The 25,841-nt window shown below is 35.8% G+C and overlaps 1 protein-coding gene across 5 annotated transcripts in view; it reads right to left on the bottom strand.

Annotated features, from left to right (window-relative positions):
- MAGI3 (membrane associated guanylate kinase, WW and PDZ domain containing 3) overlaps window positions 1–25,841 on the bottom strand; it is a 295,409-nt gene that overhangs the window by 78,528 nt on the left and 191,040 nt on the right. For all 5 annotated transcript variants that reach the window (XM_017000974.2, NM_152900.3, XM_005270737.4 and 2 more), the window contains exons 4-6: window positions 21,800–22,009; window positions 16,738–16,912; window positions 12,836–12,915 (exon numbers count right to left, since the gene is read on the bottom strand). In XM_017000974.2, the coding sequence (XP_016856463.1) occupies window positions 12,836–12,915; window positions 16,738–16,912; window positions 21,800–22,009 (465 nt within the window). The remainder of the gene's footprint in view (window positions 1–12,835; window positions 12,916–16,737; window positions 16,913–21,799; window positions 22,010–25,841) is intronic.

The raw sequence follows: 25,841 nt of genomic DNA, 5'->3' as shown, positions 1-25,841 counted from the left end.
ACTTAACTGGGCACAAATCAACTGTAAAATTTCACAGTGTCCTTGAAAAAAGAGCAAAGGTGTCTCATCCATTCCTCCCTCAAGGCACTCTGGTTAGAGTATGTGATAATCCGACATACGGAATCAGTAAGAATGCCATTACCAATCTGTATGTAAAATAGTAGTGAAGCTTAGTTTGTTTCTTTTTCTTTCAGTAACAACATTATGAAAAATTAGTTCTAATATTTTCTACTGGGTACCAGTAGATAGTTTGAGTATGATCATTTTGAAAACCACTGGCATAAAAGATGTATTAAAGAGAGAGAAATAACTGGAGGAAGAAAGACCAAGAATAATCCAAGTGTGTAGTGATTAGGAGAATGGAAAGGAATATATAATATAAAAGAAAAATCACAGATAGAGAAAGAATAAATGAATAATCATGTGAAGAAGCAAATGTAGCAAAATGTTAATTGTAATATCCTAGTGGTGGGCATATGTATGTTCACTGTATGATTCTTTTCATTTTCCTATATGTTGAAACTTTTGCATAATAATATATTGGCAAAAAGAGAAAAAAGAAAAAGCAACAGGACGTGAAAACTAAATCAGGAAGTAGAGCAAGAAGAGAGGAACAGGCAAACATAATTGCAAAGATTTTGGCATAGATGATTATGAGAATGGTACGTATATGACAGAAAGAGGGACGGGTTGTATTAGGAGAAAGATGTCAATTTAGTTTTAAATAAGCTTATTTGAAGTATTAGTAGGGAAATCAAAACCAAGACTCAAAAGCAAGAGGAAACAGAAATATAATTCAGAACAAAGGACAATACTAGAGATTTTGATAATGGGGCAGGCTATAGTAAACTGATAAAGCTATGAGAATAAATGCTTTCTACAAAAGAAAACAAGAAAAGGCAGAAAACTGAACTGAAACAATTAGGGACCAGGAAAAAGAATGGAAGCCAGTAAAAGGGACATGCTCTAGAAGACAAATACCATGTTCACAATAAAAAAAGTCAAATTCTATAGTATTATATATTCTAGTTTGCCTTTAGAATGGCTGATTTCACCATAAGAAGGAACTTACTATGGAAAGCTTTATAAACAACTACGGTATAAAAATTATTTTAAAAATTATTTCTTGGGCTGGGCATGGTGGCTCACACTTGTAATCCCAGCACTTTGGGAGCCTGAGGTGGGTGGATCACTTGAGGTCAGGAGTTTCAGACCAGCCTGGCCAACATGATGAAACCCCATCTCTACCAAAAAATACAAAAATTAGCCAGCCATGGTGGCATGAGCCTGTAGTCCTAGCTACTGGGGAGGCTGAGGCACGAGAATCACTTGGACCCAGGAGGAGGAGGCTGCAGTGAGCAGAGATTGCGCCACTGCACTCCAACCTGGGTGACAGAGAGAGACTCTGTCTCAAAAAAAGAATAATAATTGAGGTATAATTTACAAACAATAAAATGCACAACTCTTAAGTGCCCTTTTAATGGTAAAAAAAAAATCTGGCTGGGTGCAGTGGCTCACACCTGTAATCTTAGCACTTTGGGAGGCCGAGGCAGGCGGATCACGAGGTCAGGAGTTCGAGACCAGCCTCGCCAATACGGTGAAACCCCGTCTCTACTAGAAATACAAAAATTAGCTGGGCGTGGTGGCATGTGCCAGTAGTCCCAGCTACTTGGGAGGTTGAGGCAGAAGAATCGCTTGAACCCAGGAGGCAGAGGTTGCAGTGATCCAAGATTGCGCCACTGCACTCCAGCCTGTTCGACAGAGCATGACTCCGTCTCGGGGAAAAAAAAAATCGAGTGCTTGTTCAATTATAAAAAGTGGGTTTTGGCAACTGGATATGCCTGTGTAACTGTCACCTCAATTGAGATGGAGAATATAGCATTCCAGGGAATTATCTCACTTTACCCCACTTCTACTCTCCCCAGTCATTTTCTGATTTCTATTACCACACATGAGTTTTGCCTGTTCTCAAGCTTTAAATAATGAGTAATTGAGAACCTACTCTTTGGTGTCTGGTTTCTTTTACAACATGTTTCTGAGACTCATCCATATTATTGAGTGTTATCAACACTTTTTTCTTTTTACTCATGAGTAGTATTTTATTGCATGAATATACCACAAATGGTTTATCCATTCTCTTCTTGATAGATATCTGGGATGTTTCCAGGTTTGAGCTATTAAGAGAAAGGCTGTCATAATCATTCTAGTTAAGTCTTTTGGGGAACATATGTTTTCATTTCTCTTTAGATATTACCTCATAGGAAACTGTGAAAAGTTCTAAAAAATGTTCAGGTAATTTTGTGTCCCCACTCACAATAAATGAAAATGCTAGTTGCTCTAAAATCTCATTAATCTTTGGTATTGTCAGTATATTTTATTTTACTATATCTAAAAATAATATTACATATATTATATATTATATATGTATATTTATATCAGGGTATAAGTGGTTTTTGGTTACATGGATGAACTGTATAGTGGTGAAATCTGAGATTTTAGTGCACCCATCACCCAAGTAGTGTACATTATACCCAATATGTAGTTTTTATCCCTTCCCCCATCCGACCCTCCTCCCTTCTGAATCTTCAATGTCTATTATACGACTTTGTTTGTCTTTGTGTACCCATAGCTTAGCTCCCACTTATAAGTGAGAACATAGAGTATTTGGTTCTCCATTCCTGAGTCACTTAGAATAATGACCTCCAGCTCCATCCAAGTTGCTGCAAAAGACATTATTTCATTCTTTTTCATGGCTGGGTAGTATTCCATGGTATATATATACCACATTTTCTTTCTTCTCTTTTTTTTTTTTTTTTTTTTTTTTTTTTTTGAGATGGAGACTCACTCTGTCGCCAGGCTGGAGTGCAGTGGCATGATCTCAGCTCACCACAACCTCCGCCTCCTGGATTCAAGCGATTCTCCTGCCTCAGCCTCCCGAGTAGGTGGGATTACAGGTGCATGCCACCATGCCTGGCTAATTTTTGTATTTTTAGTAGAGATGGGGTTTCACCATATTGGCCAGGATGGTCTTGATCTCTTGACCTTGTGATCTGCCCGCCTCAGCCTCCCAAAGTGTTGGGATTACAGGCATGAGCCAATGCACCTGGCAATACCACATTTTATTTATCCACTCATCATTTGATGGGTACTTAGGTTGGTTCCTAAGTTGGTTCCACATGTTTGCAATTATGAATTATGCTATGATAGACATACATAAGCAGGTGTCTTTTTGATATAATGACTTCTTTTTCTTTGGATAGGTGCCCAGGAGTGGGATTCCTGGATCAAATGGTAGATCTAATTTTAGTTCTTTAAGAATGCTCCATACTGTTTTCCATAGAGGCTGTACTAATTTACATTCCAACCAGCAGTGTATAAGTGTTCTCTTTTCACTGCACCCATGCCAACATCTATTGCTTTTTGACTTATTACTCTGGCTGGAATAAGGTGGTATCTCATTGTGGTTTTAATTTACGCATCCCTGATGATGAGCATTTTTTTTCATATGTTTGTTGGCCATTTGTGTATCTTCTTTTGAGATATGCCAATTCATGTAATTTGTCCACTTTTTACCTTTTGGTGGCATTATTTGGTGGGTTTTATTTATTTATTTTTCTGACTTGTTTGAGTTCCTTGTAGATTCTGGATATTGGTCCTTTGTCGGATGCATAATTTGCAAATATGTTCTCCCATTCTGAAGGTTGTCAGTTTACTCTTATGATTATTTCTTTTGCTGTGTAGAAGCTTTTTTGTTTAATTAGGTCGCATTTATTTTTGTTTTTGTTGCATTTGCTTTTGGGGTCTTTCTATTTTCATCAGGGATACTGGTCTATAGTTTTATTTTTTTGTTAGGTCCTTTCCCGGTTTTGGTATCAGGGTGATACTGGCTTCATAGAAAGAGTTAGAGAAGATTCCCTCTTTCTCAATCTTTTGGAATAGTTTCAGTAGGATTGATACCAATTATTCTTTGAATGTCTGGTAGAATTTGGCTGTAAATCCATTTGGCCTCAGGCTTTTTGTTGTTGTTGTTGTTGTTGTTGTTGGCAATTTTTAAATTACTGATTCAATCTCACTGCTAGTTATTGGTTCAGGATTTCTATTTATTCCTGATTTAAGCTAGGAGGGTTGTATGTTTCCATGAATTTATCCAGTCCTCTAGATTTTCTACTTTGTGTGCACAGTTTCAATTTCACTTATTCATAGTAGCCTCAAATTATCTTTTGTATTTCCGTGGTGTTTGTTGTAATGTCTCCATTTTCATTTTCATTTCCATTTCATTTTCATTTTCATTTCGAATTGGGCTTATTTGAATTTTTTCTCTTCTTGGTTAATCTAGCTAATGGTCTATAAATTTTGTATATCTTTTTCAAATAACCAGCTTTTTGTCTCTTTGATCTTCTGTGTATGTATACACATATATATATATGTGTATACATACACATACACACACTTTGATTTTTTTTATTTTTTGAGACAATCTCGTTCTGTTTCGCAGACTGGAGTGCAGTGGGACAGTCTCGTCTAACTGCAACCTCTGCCTCCTCCAGGCTCAAGTAATCCTCCCACCTCAGCCTCTGGAGCAGCTGGGACCACAGGTGGGCACCACCATACCTGGTTAATTTGTGTATTTTTTGTAGAAATAGGGTTTCACCATGTTGCTTAGGCTGGTCTCAAATTACCAAGCAATCTGCCTGCCTTGGCCGCCTAAAGTGCTGGGCTTATAGGCATGAGCCACAGTATCTGGCCTACTGTTTTTGTTTGTTTTAATTTCATTTAATTCTGCTCCGATCTTCTGTTATTTCTTTTATTCCACTAACTTTGGGTTTGTTCTTGTTTCTCTAGTTCCTTGAGGTGTGACATTACGTTGTCAATTTGTGATCTTTCAGACTTTTTGATGTAGCAATTTAGTGCTATAAACTTTCTTCTCAGCACTGCTTTGCTGTATCTCAGGTTTTGATAACTTATGTCACTATTATCATTCATTTCAAATAATTTTAACACTTCCATCTTGATTTTGTTCTTAACCCAAAAATCACTTAGGAGCAGACTGTTTAATTTCCATGCATTTGTATAGTTTTTAGGGTTCCTTTAGGAGTTGATTTCTAGTTTTATTCCACTGTGGTCTGAGAAGATACCTCATATGATTTTGAGTTTTTTTTATAATTTTATTATTATTATACTTTAAGTTTTAGGGTACATGTGCACAATGTGCAGGTTAGTTACATATGTATACATGTGACATGCTGGTGTGCTGCACCCATTAACTCGTCATTTAGCATTAGGTATATCTCCTAATGCTATCCCTTCCCACTCCCCCCACCCCACAGCAGTCCCCAGAGTGTGATGTTCCCCTTCCTGTGTCCATGTGTTCTCATTGTTCAGTTCCAACCTATGAGTGAGAATATACGGTGTTTGGTTTTTTGTTCTTGCGATAGTTTACTGAGAATGATGATTTCCAATTTCATCCATGTCCCTACAAAGGACATGAACTCATCATTTTTTATGGCTGCATAGTATTCCACGGTGTATATGTGCCACATTTTCTTAATCCAGTCTATCGTTGTTGGACATTTGGGTTGGTTCCAAGTCTTTGCTATTGTGAATAGTGCCACAATAAACATACTTGTGCATGTGTCTTTATAGCAGCATGATTTATAGTCCTTTGGGTATATACCCAGTAATGGGATGGCTGGGTCAAATGGTATTTCTAGTTCTAGATCCCTGAGGAATCGCCACACTGACTTCCACAAGGGTTGAACTAGTTTACAGTCCCACCAACGGTGTAACAGTGGTCCTATTTCTCCACATCCTCTCCAGCACCTGTTGTTTCCTGACTTTTTAATGATTGCCATTCTAACTGGTGTGAGATGGTATCTCATTGTGGTTTTGATTTGCATTTCTCTGATGGCCAGTGATGGTGAGCATTTTTTCATGTGTTTTTTGGCTGCATAAATGTCTTCTTTTGAGAAGTGTCTGTTCATGTCCTTTGCCCACTTTTTGATGGGGTTGTTTGTTTTTTTCTTGTAAATTTGTTGGAGTTCATTGTAGATTGTGGATATTAGCCATTTGTCAGATGAGTAGATTGCAAAAATTTTCTCCTGTTTTGTAGGCTGCCTGTTCACTCTGATGGTAGTTTCTTTTGCTGTGCAGAAGCTCTTTAGTTTAATTAGATCCCATTTGTCAATTTTGGCTTTTATTGCTCATTGCTTTTGGTGTTTTAGACATGAAGTCCTTGCCCATGCCTATGTCCTGAATGGTATTGCCTAGGTTTTCTTCTAGGGTTTTTATGGTTTTAGGTCTAACATTTAAGTCTTTAATCCATCTTGAATTAATTTTTGTATAAGGTGTAAGGAAGGGATCCAGTTTCAGCTTTCTACATATGGCTAGCCAGTTTTCCCAGCACCATTTATTACATAGGGAATCCTTTCCCCATTGCTTGTTTTTCTCAGGTTTGTCAAAGATCAGATAGTTGTAGATAGGCGGCGCTATTTCTGAGGGCTCTGTTCTGTCCCATTGATCTATATCTCTGTTTTGGTACCAGTACCATGCTGTTTTGGTTACTGTAGCCTTGTAGTAGGTTGAAGTCAGGTAGTGTGATGCCTCCAGCTTTGTTCTTTTGGCTTAGGATTGACTTGGCAATGCGGACTCTTTTTTGGTTCCATATGAACTTTAAAGTAGTTTTTTCCAATTCTGTGAAGAAAGTCATTGGTAGCTTGATGGGGATGGCATTGAATCTATAAATTACCTTGGGCAATACGGCCATTTTCACGATATTGATTCTTCCTACCCATGAGCATGGAATGTTCTTCCATTTCTTGTATCCTCTTTTATTTCATTGAGCAGTGGTTTGTAGTTCTCCTTGAAGAGGTCCTTCATGTCCCTTGTAAGTTGGATTCCTAGGTATTTTATTCTCTTTGAAGCAATTGTGAATGGGAGTTCACTCATGATTTGGCTCTCTGTTTGTCTGTTATTGGTGTATAAGAATGCTTGTGATTTTTGTACATTGATTTTGTATCCTGAGACTTTGCTGAAGTTGCTTATCAGCTTAAGGAGATTTTGGGCTGAGACAATGGGGTTTTCTAGATATACTATCATGTCATCTGCAAACAGGGACAATTTGACTTCCTCTTTTCCTAATTGAATACCGTTTATTTCCTTCTCCTGCCTAATTGCCCTGGCCAGAACTTCCAACACTATGTTGAATAGGAGTGGTGAGAGAGGGCACCCCTGTCTTGTGCCAGTTTTCAAAGGGAATGCTTCCAGTTTTTGCCCATTCAGTATGATATTGGTTGTGGGTTTGTCATAGATAGCTCTTATTATTTTGAGATATGTCCCATCAATACCTAATTTATTGAGAGTTTTTAGCATGAAGGGCTGTTGAATTTTTTCAAAGGCCTTTTCTGCATCTATTGAGATAACCATGTGGTTTTTGTCTTTGGTTCTGTTTATATGCTGGATTACATTCATTGATTTGCGTATATTGAACCAGCCTTGCATCCCAGGGATGAAGCCCACTTGATCACGGTGGATAAGCTTTTTGATGTGCTGCTGGATTCAGTTTGCCAGTATTTTATTGAGGATTTTTGCATCAATGTTCATCAAGGATATTGGTCTAAAATTCTCTTTTTTGGTTGTGTCTCTGCCCAGCTTTGGTATCAGGATGATGCTGGCCTCATAAAATGAGTTAGGGAGGATTCCCTCTTTTTCTATTGATTGGAATAGTTTCAGAAGGAATGGTACCAGTTCCTCCTTGTACCTCTGGTAGAATTCGGCTGTGAATCCATCTGGTCCTGGACTCTTTTTGGTTGGTAAGCTATTGATTATTGCCACAATTTCAGAGCCTGTTATTGGTCTACTCAGAGATTCAACTTCTTCCTGGTTTAGTCTTGGGAGGGTGTATGTGTCGAGGAATTTATCCATTTCTTCTAGATTTTCTAGTTTATTTGCGTAGAGGTGTTCGTAGTATTCTCTGATAGTAGTTTTTATTTCTGTGGGATCGGTGGTGATATCCCCTTTTATCATTTTTTATTGCATCTATTTGATTCTTCTCTCTTTTCTTCTTTATTAGTCTTGCTAGTGGTCGATCAATTTTGTTGATCCTTTCAAAAAACCAGCTCCTGGATTCATTAATTTTTTGAAGGGTTTTTTGTGTCTCTATTTCCTTCAGTTCTGCTCTGAATTTAGTTATTTCTTGCCTTCTGCTAGCTTTTGAATGTGTTTGCTCTTGCTTTTCTAGTTCTTTCAATTGTGATGTTAGGATGTCAATTTTGGCTCTTTCCTGCTTTCTCTTGTGGGCATGGGTACATAACGAAATGAAGGCAGAAATAAAGATGTTCTTTGAAACCAACGAGAACAAAGACAACATACCAGAATCTCTGGGACACATTCAAAGCAGTGTGCAGAGGGAAATTTATAGCACTAAATGCCCACAAAAGATTTTGAGTTTTAAAAATTTATTGAGACTTGTTTTGTGGCCTATCATATGGTCTACTTTGCAGAAGGTTCCATGTGCTGATGAGAAGAATGTATATTCTGCAGTTCTTGGTTAGAATTGTTCTGTAAATATCTGTCAGGTTTATTTGTTCTAGAGTGTAGTTTAAGTCCAGTGTTTGCTGATTTTCTGCTCCAATGATCTATCTAGTGCTGTCAGTGGAGTGTTGAAGTCCCCTACTATTATTGTGTTGATATCTCCTTTCTTAGGTCTAATAGTAATTGTTTCATGAATCTGGGGGCTCTAGAGTTAGGGGTATATATATTTAGTATTGCAATATCTTCTTGTTGATCATTTTATCATTGTATAATGACCTTCTTTGTCTTTTTTTTTAACTGTTGTTGCTTTAAAATCTGTTTTCTCTGACATAACAATAGCTACTCCTGCTCACTTTGAGTTTCCATTTGTGTGAAATATCTTTTTCCACTCTTTTACGTTGAGTCTATAGGAATCCTTATGTGTTAGATGAATCTCTTGAAGACAGCAGATATTTGGTTTGTGAATTTTTATCCATTCTGCCAATCTTCTTCTTTCAAGTGAGCACTTAGACCATTTACATTCAACATTAATATTGAGATATAAGGTACTATTCCAGTCATCATGTTGATTGTTACCTAGTACTTTGTTTTCTTTACTGTGCTATTGCTTTATAGGTCCTGTGAGTTTTTTTTTGGAGGGGGGGTGGGGGGATGGCAGGCAGAGTCTCGCTCTGTTGCCCAGGCTGGAGTACAGTGGTGCAATCTTGGCTAACTGCAACCTCCACCTCCTGGGTTTAAGCAATTCTCCTGCCTCAGCCTCCTGAGTAGCTGGGATTACAGGTGCCCACCACCATGTCTGGCTAATTTTTGTATTTTTAGTAGAGATGGGGTTTCACCATGTTGGTCAGACTGGTCTTGAACTCCTGACCTCATTATCCGCCCACCACAGCCTCCCAAAGTGCTGGGATTACAGGTGTGAGCCACCGTGCCTGGCAGTCCTGTAAGTTGCATGCTTTCAAGAGGTTCTATTCTGGTGCATATCAACTTTTTGTTTGAAGATTTAGAACTCCTTTTACCATATCTTGTAGGGCTGATCTGGTAATGTCAAATTCCTTCAACATTTACTTGTCTGAAAAATACTTTATTTCTTCTTCATTTATGAAACTTAGTATTGCTGGATACAAAATTCTTGGCTGACACTTATTCTGTTTAAGGTGGTTAAAGATAGAACTCCAATCCCTTCTGGCATGTAAGGTTTCTGCTGAGCGTCAGTGTACTTTAGTCCTTCTAAAGGATGTAGATGGTATCTCTAGCCCTTGTAGTGGGTGTTGATGGTATCTCATTGTAGTGATAACTAATGATAAGCACCTCTTCATGTTCTTCTTGACTCTTCTTTTATCTTCTTTTGTGAAGTGCATAAGTCCTTTGGCCATTTTAAAAACAACTTTATTGAGGTATAATTTACATATATACAATTCATCTGTTTTAAGTATACAGTTCAATAATTTTTAATAATTTACTGAATTGTACAACCATCACCACAATCCAGTTTTAAAACGTCTTCATAACTCCAAGAAGATTCCTCATGCTGTTAACAGTTAATCTCTATTCTTATCCTTAGCCCAAGGCAACCAGTAACCTATTTTCTGTTTCCACAGATTTGCCTATTCTGGACATTTCATACAAATAGAACCATACAATATCTGGCCTATTATGTCTAATTTCTTTCACTTAGCATGTTTTTGAGATTCATACATATAGCATGTATAGTATTTTGTTCCTTTTTATTGCTCAATAGTATTCCATTGTAGGTTATAGCACATTTGATTTATCTGCTCATTGGTTAATGGACAGTTGGGTGGTTTCCACTTTTTGGCTATTATGAATAGTGCTGCTATGAATATTTGCATGCAAGTCTTTATGAGGACTTTTGTTTTCATTCCTCTTGGGTAGATACCTAGGAGAAAATTTACTAGGTCATATGGTAAATTTATATTTAACCTTTTAAGAAACTGCCAAACTGTTCTCCAAAGTGGCTATACCATTTTCCAATGGCACAGCAATGTACAAGGGTTACTGTTTCTCCCTATCCTCCCCAAGATTAGTTACCATCTGTTTTTTTTTTTGTTATACTCATTCTAGTGGGTGTAAAGTAGTAGATCACAGTGGTTTTAATTTGCAAAACACCTAATGATTAATAATTTTAAATATCTTTTCATGTTTTTATGGGCTGTTTGTATATTTTCTTTGGTGAAATGTTTATTAACATATTTTGCCCATTTTAAAATTTGGCAATATTATTGAGTTGTAAACAGTTCTTATAGATTCTGAATTTAATTCCTTTGGCAAATATATATTGCAAAGTCTGTGACTTTGTCTATTCATTTTTCAATGGTGTCTTCTGATGAAGAGAATTTTAAAATTTCTATTACATGCAAAATATTAACTTTTTCTTCTATGGTTCATATTTTTTGTGGCCTGTTTAAGAAATCTTTGCCAATTCTGACTCATGAAGACACTCTCCTATATTTTCTTCCAAAAGCTTTGTGGTTCTAGCTTTTATGCTTAGGTCTTTGATTCATCTGAAATTAACTGTTTGTATGAAGTGAGGCATAATTGAGGTTCATTTTTCCATATCAGTTGGCACTTTGGTTGAAAATAAAGTGACTACATACATGTGTATTGATTTCTAGACTCTCTATTTTGTTCCACTGATCTATTTATCTATCCTTATGCCAATACCAAACTGTCTTTATCACTGTAGCTCTAAAATAAGTCTTCAGATCTGGTACCCTATGTCTTCCAACTTTGTCTTTTTTTTTTTAAGGTTCTTTGGCTAATGAACAGAATATATCTTGTCAATTATTATTAGTATTAGTATTAGTATTAGTATTTTGAGACAGGGTCTCACTCTGTCACCCAGGCTGGAGTGCAGTGGCGTGATCATGGTTCACCGCAGCCTCAACCTCCTGGACTCAAGCGATCTTCTCACCTCAGCCTCCTGAGTAGCTGGGTCTACAGGCGCATGCTACCACACCCAGTGAGTTTTTGTACTTTTAGTAGAGACAGGGTTTCACCCTGTTGCCCAGGCTGTTCTTGAACTCCTGGGTTCAAGTGATCCATCCACCTTGGCTGTGATTACAGGCATGAGCCATCATGCCCAGCCTCTTGTCAATTATTTTAAGTCTTCCTATGTCTTTCAATTATGTTTTGTAGTTTTTAGTGTTGAGAACTTGCACATTGTTCAGAAGATTTGTTTCAAGCTATCTAACTTTTTTGATGCCATTGTAGAGGGAATTTTAAACAATTCCATTTTCTGATTGCTTCTTCCTAGAAAACTCTTAATATTATATTATAATCATGCTGAACAATATATGTGGAAATTCTGTTTAATTTCTTTTTATAGATTGGACTTCAATACAAGGAGGACTACTGTGAACCTCATTTTACGCCACTTATTTTTTAAAACCAATTAATACATAGTTTCTGATTAGTAATACAAAAATGCAAATTTTATTCATCTCCTAAGGTAAAGACATAGCAAACAATTTTGGATGGAATAAATTCTATACTTATTTACAAAACTCTACTCTTTTTAACAATTTGTTTATTTATTAGTTTTTAGAGACAGGGTCTCTCTCTGTTGCCCAGGCTGGAGTGCAGTAGCATGACCACAGCTCACTGTGATCTCAAACTCTTGAGCTCAAGCAATCCTCCCATTTCAGCTCCCCATATAGCTTTAGGACTACAGGTTTGTGCCACCACACCCAGCTCAAAACTACACTGTTAAATATAACCTATAATATATAGGACAGATAAGTGCTATTATCTGATGATTCTTAGAGAAATAATTTTTCCTTTAAGCAGTAAAAAGTAAGTGTGTATATGTGTGGGGGCCTATATTAAAGACTTTCCTTGAATTTCTACTGCTGCTGTAAATGGCTAAGAATAGCTATAGATACTTGCATATCTACTGTAATGTATACTAAATTAAATATACTTTAAAAACTTCATAAGACATGATAGACCTAGCTTATGGTTGAGGATGTGCCTAATTTTTAAATATTTATTTAGAATTTTAAAAGTCTGTCTTCAGGACAGATGTCAAAAAAGGGCAAATGTATTTTAGTGTTGTTGTTATTTTTTATAGAGAGTTATGTAATCCTGAAAAAGAAATGAAATCTCTCATAAAGTTAGATGTAATGACATAATTACCACAATCAGTTGATTATGATATCCACCCACTGCTTTTTTGCTTGTGTACATTATGGTTTGTTTAGGGTTTTGAAAAACCCATTATCTGAGCAAGAAGAGCAAGAAAGGATTAAGAGAATAAGTATGATAGAGTAAGTTTCTGAATCTCTACCTCCATCTTCACAGTCTTCAGGGGCTTTGGCTTTCTTACAAAGACGAGGATCCAACCAGGTGGTTGTCTTGGTATTGTGGCTGTAGAATAAAGATTTTAATTAGAAACAGTAAAATAAAGGAGGAGAAAATTATTTCAAAAGTAAAGATTAAAAGTGACTAAAAGACATGATGTTTGAACATTAATCTCCAACAGGCTCCATTTGTATTCCTCAGATTCATTCATTAACCCTATTGTTCTCAGTCTACTTCAAAATTTCCATAAAGGAATGGTAATGCTAGAGGCACTAACTTGAGAATCAAGAGACTTTAAAGAAGGCCTAAAATGCCAAGTATGGAATAACAGACACTATTTAAGCAGTTAAAAATGTTTCAAAAGGTGGGCGCATAGCCACATACTGTGCATTATCTAGCCAACAATACTGCACTGAAAACCTTGTTTGCTCACTGGCTGAACTCCTTTCTTCTTCCCTTCAAAAAGTACTATATTTCTTGTGTGCCTGTGATACGTAGGTACTGTGTGGGAAGCTGGAATATAAAGATAAATAAACATCAGATAGAGCTCCTGCCCTCAGGGACTCTTTAAAATAAAATAGAATAAAATAAAACAAAGAGTTTTAAAGTGGCTGTTTCTGCCACATGCAAGTAAAAACAACAGGTATAGTTAAACTCTGCTCTACAAAACTAAGTTTTCATCAGCATGATCCACACAGGAAAAAAGGGAGGAATAAAAATATCCTGCCCCTGCTTCATTTTATGATATAGGCCAAAGATGACTTTAGAGAGCAGTATCTGTTTAATTTCATTATATGTCATAGTCAGTTAGTTTCAGACCAGGTCACCATGCAGCAGATACTAACGCCGAAATGAAACTATCTCATTGCTTAGTGGACAAACAGTGTTAGTTTAAATATCTGACATACAAGGATATTAAAGAAAGAAAAAGTCATGGAAGAAAATACATAGGAAGGGAATAAAATGTAAATTAAAGTTATTGTTATTATTATTATTATTATTTTGAGACAGAGTCTTGCTCTGTTGCACAGGTTGGAGTGCAGTGGCATGATCACAGCTCACGGCAGCCTTGACTTCCTAGGCTCAAGTGATCCTCCTGCTTCAGGCTCCCAAGTGGCTGTGACTACAGGCGTGTGCCACCATGCCTAACAACTGAAAAAATTTTTTTTGCAGAGAGAGGCCTGGCTATGTTGCCTAGACTGGTCTTGAACTCCTCGGCTCAAGTGATTCTCTTGCCTAAAGTTATTATTGGAATACCATGTCATACTTAACTGAAGTAATTAACTGTTATTAATTAGTAACAATGAATGTAAACAAGTTATATTTCCTGAGTGTGTTTAACATGAAATAAACTCACTAATCTGTACCTTGACCACTCTTAGGAAATGAAGCCAATAAGGTTTCAGGGAATTACTCACATCTTCTATATCTTTTGTAACCGCTGAGCTACTTGCAGAGCTCTGCAGCCACTGCCAGGTATAATACTAGCTGGTAGAATGTGATAGAAACACTTTTTTGTTTGTTTGTTTGTTTTTGAGACAGAGTCTCACTCTGTCACAGAGGCTGGAGTGCAGTGGCCCGATCTCGGCTCACTGCAAGCTCCACCTCTCAGGTTCACACCATTTTCCTGCCTCAGCCTCCCGAGTAGCTGGGACTACAGGCGCCCGCCACCGTGCCCAGCTAAGTTTTTGCATTTTTAGTAGAGACAGAGTTTCACCATGTTAGCCAGGATGGTCTCGATCTCCTGACCTCATAATCCGCCTGCCTCGGCCTCCCAAAGTGCTGGGATTACAGGCGTGAGCCACCGTGCCTGGCCAAAACAGTTTTTAATATGCTGAATAATAGCTTATTTCTGTAGAAAAAAGTGAGATTATCTCTAGAAAGTCTATATTACTCATGCTATTAGAGAAATAATCTCCCCAAACTTAAAAGTTTTTTGCTTAAAAAAAAATTTTAGAAAATGCAAAGGATGAGAACTCAGGGGCCTAGGAGCCACATAGATTGTTAGGAAACAACAATAAGAACAACAACAACACGAAAATACCTTGCTAAACCCAACTAAAAACTGCCACTTGAGAAAAGCTTAACTTAGGTTCCCATGATCCAAAATTTTATTGCTAAATCAGCAGATGTAGGCAATTTGCTAAAATTTTACCCAAAATTTTCCAATGAAAAGAAATATCCATAGGGGATATTCCCAAAACATAAGAACTAAAGTCTATAGACCTATATGAACATTATTTTCTTACAGTTGCATTTTTCAACAGCAGCAGTAATACAGATCAACCATACTGGTTATACCAAACCAAACAGCTTTATCTAGCAGCAAATATTTAACTATATTCTACATATTAACCCTTTATAATATATATGGTTTATAAATATTTTCTCCTATTCTATATATTGCTTTTTCACTCTGTTGATTGTTTGCTTTGCTATGCAGAAATTTTTAAGTTTGATGTAGTCCATTTTTGTCTACTTTGGCTTTTGTTGCCTGTGCTTTTGGTGTTATATCTAAAAAGCCCTTGGCAAATCCAATGTTGTAAAGCTTTTTCCCTATGTTTTCTTCCTTTTTATAGTTTCAGGTCTTACATTTAGATCTTTCATCCATTTACATATATTAAACTATAAAAATATTTCTTTTTATAAATTCTCCCTCTTTAATTTACTAACTTAGCCCTGTTTGCAGGGTGAAGTACTGTCAGATTAAATGTCTCATAATCTGTTTTTAAAGATATTTTAGCTACTTCTAATGACTCTACACCTTATTTTGGGGCTTAGTTCTAAAGTCAGCATGAAAGTCAAAAGTCTAAATTTCCCTTAACAAATCCCTTAAAGTTGTCAATAAAGAAGAATATACCACCTGGTTGTACCTGCTTTGTATAATTGTGGTGATGAATGTTTATATAAATGTATAACCTCATCAATAATGTGCAATCTATAGTAAAAAGAACGCTACACATCCAAAGATCCGTGTCTTTTAAAAACTAGAATCCTATTTGGTATAGCAAGACGCTCACTCTTTTGGAAGGGTACGGAATTGGGACCATCTGAGGAAACAGATTCAAGACTCCCACTCCAAATTCATTTCTGAGTATATGTTCTTTGAGTGTAGTGCCTAGATCCAAATATTTTAACCGTTATTTAATTGTTATATTCTGTAACTTTACTACATTAATATTCTACCTTTGGGCAAATTACTTTACGATGAGAATTACAGCTACGTGAGAATATAAAAATTCTTCATGATAAAACTTCCAATAATTATTTGCATAATATTATTCTCTAGTACAAACAACATACAATTTTAGGTTGATCTAATATATATGGTAATCAGTATCTCTATAAATATTATATTAATAGTGCTTTTCCATAAAAATAATGTTTTTTGTGAACTTAAATTTGTACCAATTACTCTGATGATCAGTGATATTTTCTTCCTACATCATTCAACTATATTGCCTGAACACATCAAACTCAAACTCCAGGACTGAAAATATTTAATTCGGATAATAATATGCTCCTACTCATGATGACAATTCTTGAAATCTCATTAAGCTGGACAATCTACCTAAAAGCTTTTTAAAAAGCCAAGCAAAATACCCTTTATTCTTTACATTTTTCACCATTCGTGAACTGTTTTTGATCCTCCTGCTCTTATAAAACCAGAAGTCAAATACACTATTCCTTTATCCAAGTCAAATAAAAATGAAGTGTCAGATTAAATCTGATTAAAAATCAACTGTCAGTTTTATGAAAAATATTTTTAAAGAAAGAAAAAAAATGAGTCTTCTGAAAAAGGTATGTGTCTAAAATGAGGTTTAAAAAAATCTTAGACAATCCTCAACATGTTAGGGCACATTAGAAGAGATAGAGACATTTGCTTACTCAATGAAGTAGATCATCCCTGTGTCAGTGTAGGCCATTTCCCAGTTTTTGGGCAGTGGTTCCAGAGTCTCATCTCTCATCATATAATTTCTAAAGTCCATGGAGCTATTTGTTTGGTTGTAACTTGGAACAGTCTTCATCCAGTCAGATGACTCAGAATGCCTCTCTCTGTTTTCTGCCATTGTTCAAAACAGAAAGGTGTGAAAAGTGGGTAAAGTTATATTCTTCTTCAAACAGCACCTTTCCTTTCTAAAAAAATTCCAAATACATAAATATGGCAAATTTCTTGTCTATTATGTCCACATTCTGCTATAAATTTTAAAATAACCAACATATTCAACTCTTTTCCCCTAGTAATTGACAATTAACTCTGTATAGCACCTCTGATGCTAGTCTTGGAAAGAAGCAAAAAACAACAATAGAATTAATTCAGTATAAATCCTAATAAGCCACAGCAGCTACAGCAGCACTAATGTAGTCCTTTTATGTGTCAGGCTCTATTTTAAGTGCTTTCTGTATGTTAACTCATAATCATCACAGCAACCCTGTGAGTATCTATTATTAATCTCCTTGTTTTATAGACTGAGAAAACTAAGGCACAGAGAGGTTAAGTTAACTTAGTCAAAATTACACTGCCAATAAACAGCAAAGCCATGAACTGAATCTAAGTGGTCCATGCTCTCACCTGCTATACTAAGCTGCCTTGTACACATTTAACACTGGCCTTTAAATAATAGTAATTTTTAAAAATTACACTCAATAGAGTTCCTGTTGTTAAATATAATTCTGTTTAGTAATATTAAAATCCTTTTAGAGTCCCAAAGCCCATAATGTAGGTAAGAATACTAAAATTTGGGTACTGTCTAGGGAGTTCACAATTCGTGTACTTAAAACTTGTTTCTAAAACTTAAACGATGCTATGTAATATCACTATAACAACTTCAAATTGCAGGCAATGGCTCAGATTCAGAGAATCTGACAGAGATCTTATATATCCTTAGATATCCTTCTCTATAGTATTTCAACTCCAACCATTCTTTATCTAACCATGCCCTACTATTTACTACCTTTCACTATTCTTTATCCTCTACCCATTTCCCCATTGCCCTGCTAACCCAACTTAAATTCCATGATGAACCACTATAATTATTCCCTTGTAAATATTCCTGATTCCTTTGCCCTAACCTTACTTCATAATACTGCCTGGCTAAATCAGAACTCTGCTTAAATCCTACTCTCCACCTACTCCATGTCACCATACACAGCTGAATACAGGCAATATTGACAAGTTTACTTTAAATTCATGATCACTAACCTTATGTGGGCATTTAATGATGCATGATGATCATAGCACATTTCTTTAGTTGATTCACTCTGACATTCTCCAAGATAATTATTTCATACCTTCTTTCTCCTTAAACCATCCACTACTTTTCCCTTATCCCTCATCTCATTTGATGACCTTGTGTCTTATTTCACTAACAAAATAGAAGCAAGCAGAAGAAAACTTCCACAAACTCCCACCATCACATCTACACAGAAACTGTGCCCATTGACTCCACCATCTGTTACTATGGAAGAACTGTTTGTACTCCTAGCTAGGGCTAACCCTCCAATTATAAATTATATCCCATCTTCTCTTGCCTACAGCAATTCTTTCACTCTCCTTCCTGCATCACCAATCTTCTCTATCTATTAGATCATATCCAACCACATAAAAACATGTTCCCAGTTCAGTAAAAAGAAAATAATTCTCTTTACCCCTTGGCAGCCAACCTATTTCTCTCCTCTTTACACCAAACCACCTTGAAAGAGTTTATATTTGCTACCTCCACTTCCACTCTTCCAGTTCTCTCTGGACCTCACTCCAACAAGGCTTTTGAATTCCTATCATTAAACTATTCTTATCAAGGTCATCAATAACCTCTACATTGCTAAATCCAATGATCATTTCTCAGTTCCATCCTACTTGAGTTATCAGCAGCATCTGATCACTTTCTTCCTTGCACATTCAATAACCTCCTAACTGGTATCCCAGTTAGGGTATTTTGCCCATGTCCTCCTTTTGCCTATTCTCAATACAGTAGTCACAATAAGCCTGTTAAAAACTGTTGTACCATGTTACTCTTTGAATCAAAACCCCATAATCGTTTCTCATTTCAGAATAAAAATCAAAATTCTTCCAATGACCTACAAGATGCTTTATTATATACATTCTTCCCTCCTCATGCCCATCATTATCTAAATGATCTTATTGGTTACTATTCTATTCTATTGCCTTCCATCACTCTGCTCCAACCACATAGAATGCATTGTCCACATTGTATCCAACCACTCTGGTTTCCTTGCTATTGCCTGAATATTCTAGGTATGTTCCCATCTCTGGGCATTTGTACCTCCAGTTCTGTCTGTCTAGAATGCTCTTCTCCCAGATATCCTGAGTTTACTCACTTGATTCTTTCAAGTCTTTTCTTCCACACTGTCTAAAATTGCAAACCTTGACCACCACATCTTACCACCTCCTGCTCTGCTTCATTTTTCTCTGTAGCACCATCTAACACACGATGTATGTTATTCATTTAAGTTGGCCAGTTCTGTCTCTCCCACCAGAAGGTATAGTTCATGACAGGTTTTTGTCCGTTTTGTTCACTGCTTTATTGCTAGCATTTAGCACAATGGCATTTAGTATTCTAGTAAGTGCTCACTACATATTTGTTGAATAAATAAATGAATCAAACACATGATTTATTTTGTATGCAGAAAAAATGATAGAAATTAAAAGGTACCTAATGGAAAAATCAATCTGGAAAGGAGTTACATTCTTGGGAAATAACCATGTTGGAGAAAAGTAAAAGCAAGTATATGATCTATAACACTTTTCTTAATATAGTTCCAAGCAATTGAATAAAGGAGTTTGCTTAATAGCCAATGACTTGGGAAGATGTTCTTTATATAAAACCATTTCTTAGAAAAAAAATAATTATTACGTAACATATGTTATTGTACATGACCATTTTAACTTTCTTTTGGGTTATTTCTTCAGCAAGATATAAAATAATAAACATACTGGTGTGCACAAATAAACCTCTACCTATCCTCTCCTCATTTCTACTCCCGAACAATTTTCTGATTTTTCAAGGCAGGGATTCCAAAGCGATACACAGGCTGGGCACGGTGGCTCACGCCTGTAATCCCAGCACTCTGGGAGGTCAAGGCAGGCGGATCACCAGAGGCCAGGAGTTCGAGACCAGCTTGGCCAACATGGTGAAACCCTGTCTCTACTAAAAATACAAAAATTATCTGGGCAGGGTGGCACATGCCTGTAATCCTAGCTACTTAGGAGGCTGAGACATGAGAATTGTGTGAGCCTAGGAGACAGATTGCAGTGAGCCAAGATCGCACCACTGCACTCCTGCTTGAGCAACAAAGGGAGACTCTGTCTCAAAACAAACAAACAAACAAATAAACAAAAAACAACAAAAGCAACACACAAAGCATATTTCCCCAACTTTGATTAGTTAACTAACAACTACAGTTCATACTTATTCAGAAGGTGAATTCTGTTTGTAGGCGGGTGCTTTGTATTTTTTCACTTAAATGTCCTGTATATTTTCTATGACAAAGAAATATGTAATTCAATGTAAGTGTCCTATGGTATCTATACATAAGAGGTAGTATACGAACTGCCTCCCACACACCCTTGGATATATTCCCTTTAAATATTAACATCAAAGAGTATATAACATCAGTTTAACAAGTGACTTACATGAAGCATCAACTATAGAGATTACAAACAAGTTTACCGCTAAAAGAACTGCAGTGATCAATTAAAGGCTCTGTATTAGGAAGTAAAAAAAGAACATTTTCTTTTCCCTTAAATCAAGAACATATAAATTCCCATATTGGGAAAGATTCATGGTCTCCAATCCTACTGTTTAGCATTTTTAAATGTTAACAGACTTAATTTTGTGGGATAGCAAAGCTGATATCAACATTAAAAGGCTCAACGGTGTGATGAGTTCCCTTAGGAACTCCTAAAAATTAGATGTGAATTCACCTAAACCTTTTAAAACCTGTTTTTAGTATTTACATTTAAATACATTGGGGTAATCCATTTAACATTAAACGTATTATGTGAAAGATAGGACTATAAAACAGAACTCACACTCTGGAGTGGGACATAAACAATGAATGTATTAACTCAATAAATATACATATCACATTTTAATAATTGATGAAAAAGATTAGGGTGCTTTGGGAAAATGATAAGGAAATGTGTTCTGCAAATTTGAGGATTTTAGTTCCTATTACATGCCAGGCATGTTTTTGATGGAAGGGATAGAACAGTACATAAAAAAAGGAAAACTTCAGCCCTATGAAGTTTACATTCTAGTGTTCTGAATGGAATTTTTGCAATGAATACCATTGAATAAGCTCAGCTGTGATTCTATGGTTTCCTAGTTATACTCTCAGTTATAAGTCTAATAACCCTCTAAGCAATCACCACATTAATTAGGGCTACTCAAAAGGAGCAGATTCTTCACCACTGAATTTCTGTTGGTTTTACATTTAATGAAGGGTCTCATATTTGAAATTTTTCTTTGAGTGAATCCAAAATTTAAATTCAAAATATTATAAACCAACCTTTTAGATAATTTTTATCAGCATACTTTCAAGCCCTATTTACTTTGTTTAGGCTGAAGTCTACATTCTAAAACATCCATATATTGTTTACATCCTGTAAAGTAAGACATAGGCCAACAAGACTCCCACATTGCAACATCAGAGGCAAATCTCAAATATTTTAAACAGCAGGGTAATGGCATATATTTTATTACTAATGATAGTTTATCATTGATTTATCCAAATTGGGACAACTCACTTTAGCTTATAGGATGGTCTACAGAAATACACTTTGCTCCACATACAACCTTTACAAAAAAATTAAAATCCCATCACTTGCTCTCCATATGCTTTGTAAAAAATTTTAGTGCTTTTAATTCAACGTAATAGTAAAATCAATCTAGAAGATCAGTTAGAAGTTGTTCATCTATTTACAAACCTGCGTTTCCACTGCCATTAATAGCTTCCTTGTCCTCATCTTCTTCCTCTTCAGGAAGAGAGCTATCCATTCTTTCCATCTTGCTGACAGATGTCGTTCGTTTTCTTTGAGATTCTGCATCAAACTCATTATCAAAGAGGACTTGATCAACTGGATCTGGCTGAAAAGGGCTGGGTTCTGCTGGAGGCTTGGGAGTTCCATAGAAGTTTCCTGAAGTGAATAAAATAGCAGCTGAAATTACTAATGTTGCAGTGAGAGTCAGAGCAATTTGACCTAGTGTATGTCTCTGCCCTGTTTTTCACAAAGAAGTTTTGAAATATCTACCATAGGGGTGGGCATGGTGGCTCACACTTGTAATCCCAGCACTTTGGGAGGTCGAGATGGGTGAATCATTTGAGGTCAGGAGTTTCAGATCAGCTTGGCCAACACGGCAAAACCCATCTCTACTAAAAACACAAAAATTAGCCAGGTATGGTAGCACATGCCTGTGAATCCCAGTTACTCGGGAGACTGAGGCAGGAAAATCACTTGAATCTAGGAGGCAGAGGTTCCAATGAGCTGAGATTGCGCCACTACACTCCAGCCTGGGTGACAGAGACTCTGCCTCAAAAAAAAAAAAAAAAAAAAAAGGAAATATCTACCATTGGCCAAAAGGAGGCCAAAGCGCTCAAAGCACTCATCTTACGAGAAGAGAGAGCAGAAATAGGGGAAAGAACTAATTTCTCAAGTGCTCTTCACATATATTATCTAATATCTTAATACTATTTGTTTAAGGCCAGGAAGTTGACTGTATGTAAGTAGATTATTCATTCCTACAGGGATTGCCTTACATGGGTTCTGAATTAGGACATACTTTGTGAATTTAAATGCATTGATGCTGTCATGTAAGACTAATTGGCATAAAAGGTGGGGGTAAATGAGGATAAAACTAACTGAAATAATTTTGTTCTAATGTGTAACATAATGAACTATTTTGGTAAAATGAGGAAGTATGTAGGTAAAGGTTAAGCTAAGAACTAACCAGATCATATAAAAATGTAGGCTTTTTATGTAAGGGTAATTTTTAAAAGTTTTTCTGAGCATTCTATTATTTTATCTGACAATTTATTGAACAAACAGAGACATTAGCAGGATAATTCAGTATTGGCTTACTCTCAGGAAAGCAAGAAATACTTTAACTTTCTCTTGAGAATCTGTAATTTTTGCAGTAAAAATAAATGTTCCAGAAAAGAATGAAAACAATTGAGTATCTTCTCAATTTGTCATGCAGTTCCCACTAGGCCGCCAAATAATATGGGAAAGCACTCAACAGGTCTAGCCACATTAACAGTTTGTGGTTCCTACTACTTTTGACATTCTATTAATCATTATGCTAACGTTAGAGAAATATATATATGATTAGAGAGTAAAATACTCATGATTTTTCTAAAATCATATTTTCTAATCAAATTCCTTAGCTCCTAAGGAAGTAATTAAGATGCTCATTCACCTAAGGTAAATTAATGAGGTAGATAATTGATTGTTTTTTCCTAGATAGAAAATAGCATAGGTTCTTCCCCATAATGCTGAGACAAATCTAGACATTACATAGTTTACCTTAAATTGTGCATGTTTTGAGGGGGAAAACATTTAACATGAATTCTTTGGAAGTTTGACTTTCAGCAGTAATTGTCATTAAAATAATGAAGACAAAACAATAAAATGAAACTAAAAAACTTTTCAATGACATCCTGTCTCTCCCTACTCACCTACTCCCTTGTTTCCAAATCCATATTTGAAATGGAGTTACTCCAGTCATACAGATGGATGCAAAGATTTGTATGAAAACAGACTAAACTTTCTGCAAACTTTCTAGCTCAGAAGTAAAGCAAAGAACCAATGAAAAAGCCAGTCACGCTTCTCTGGGGCAGCCGGCACAGAAATACACCAAACAGAGATTTGGCTGGGGATTAGGAGGTTCGAGGGTCTCTATTTTTCCTGAATTATGCCCATTAATCACAGTATCAAGGAAACTGGATATACCATGACAGAAATAAAAAGTCCACTTTTTCTAAGTAAGGTAGTAGTACTACTAGAAACACATCTTACTGAGAATTCTTGGTAATTATTATCTAACTCGAGAAAATTTAACCTTTTTCTAAGGGGAAAATATAAAAATGCAGGATATGATAACTGCCATCCATAATCACTGAAAAGATTTTAGGACTTCATAATAATTTTGGGCAGTTTCCTTGTTTAAAAAGATAATTATGGGGCTCAGATTAAAAAAAAATTAGCATTGTTTATAAATAAATTAGATCTGGGGGGAGGGATAGCATTAGGAGATATACCTAATGTAAATGATGAGTTAATGGGTGCAGCACACCAACATGGCACATGTATACATATGTAACAAACCTGCATGTTGTGCACATGTACCCTAGAACTTAAAGTATAATAATAATAAAAATAAATAAATAAATAAAATAAATTAGATCTATTTTTTCTTGAGATGTTGGTAAATACCAAGTTTTCAGATACAGTATACAATTCCAAGGTTTGTGAACCCTAACTATAGTTACTGACAAAGATTTTCATTGTTTTAGAGCTGTTTTGAAGTTTTTTTTATTTTCTGAAGGCTTTTTCATTTTTGCAGAAATGCCAACTATTCAATATTTCAAACATATAAAATTACAGACTGTAGTATCAGAATAGTATTAGAAATATCTATATAAAATTTACTTATATAAGTATATGTACATGTATTTATTTATATATACATCATCTAGATATTATTGCTAGATTGCTTTCAAATCTCCCTTTTTTTCTCTTTAAGGATATATACATATATGGCCACATCTACAATTAAAGCTCTAACTTCCTGTCCCTATAGCCACTCCCTCCCTGAGCTGTCCTGAAGTTGATATGTGTCTTTCCTCCTGAATATACATCTAGGATATGTATATATGCATCTATAACATGTAAATACTATTGTTTTCATAAAAGCTTCACAGAGTATTTTCACAATATTTCACATATTTTTTCATAAATAGTATAATGTACATATCCTTTTGTAACTTTCTTTTTATACAATTTTATACCTTTATATAATTTTATACTTTTTATGCCTCTTAAGACCTATTAATGTTGATACCTATAAATCCAGTACATTGAACTGCTGTATAGCAGTCCATTTTTATGAACAAATTAAAATGTATGTTATTCATTCTACTAAAGGAGAGTTGTTTCCATTCTGTCACTGTTTCACACTATAACAAATATTCCCATATGTGTCTACATATGCATATGGGCAACAGTTTTTCCTGAGTAGATGTCTAGAGAGGGGCACTGCTAGGTCAGAGTTATGTATATCTTCAAATTTACCAGCTACTGCCACGATGCTCTCCAGAAGGATTATACCATTTTATAGTCTTGCCAGCAGTGTATGGGAGTTTCCATTTCTTGCAATTATCAGACTGTAAAATTGTTGCCAATCTATGGATGTGAAATAATGTACAACTATTTTAATTTGCATTTTCTTTGAATTGAGCACACAGCAATTAATAATAAGTAATATGCCACTTCGTCCATACCAAGCTCTTATATTTAGTGGAAGAAAATGTAGAGCATCTTCATCATTTAAGGGGAGAGGGCTTCTTAAAAAAAAACAAAAACAAACAAAAAAAAACTTCAAAAGCACTTTAATCTTGTTCATTACAGTATTCCGAGATTCTCTTTTAGTACTTGGCACATAGTAGGTACTTAATAAATGGTTGTTTAATGAATAAAACAGGATAAAACGAATGAACAAATGAATGAGTCATGGGCGCTAAGCCCAGAAAAGGTAGTTAGGTTAAACTTAGCAGATGAAAGGAAATCATTGAAAGTTCTGAATAGGAGAGAGACATGATAAAGCTGCTCTTGAAGAAGACTAGCATGGTAGCAATGGGCAGGGTGGAAGAAATGGGAACAAATGAGATCAACAGCAATAGTCCACACATGAGCTCTTCTAGTGGGCCTACAATGAGGTGGTGAAAGTGAAAGAAGGGTATTGTGAATGCAG

The sequence above is a fragment of the Homo sapiens genome, chromosome 1, assembly GCF_000001405.40.
Source record: "Homo sapiens chromosome 1, GRCh38.p14 Primary Assembly".
Lineage (NCBI taxonomy): Eukaryota > Metazoa > Chordata > Mammalia > Primates > Hominidae > Homo > Homo sapiens.
Note: the sequence above shows the minus strand (reverse complement) of the source record. Positions and strands in the feature narration are given on the sequence as shown.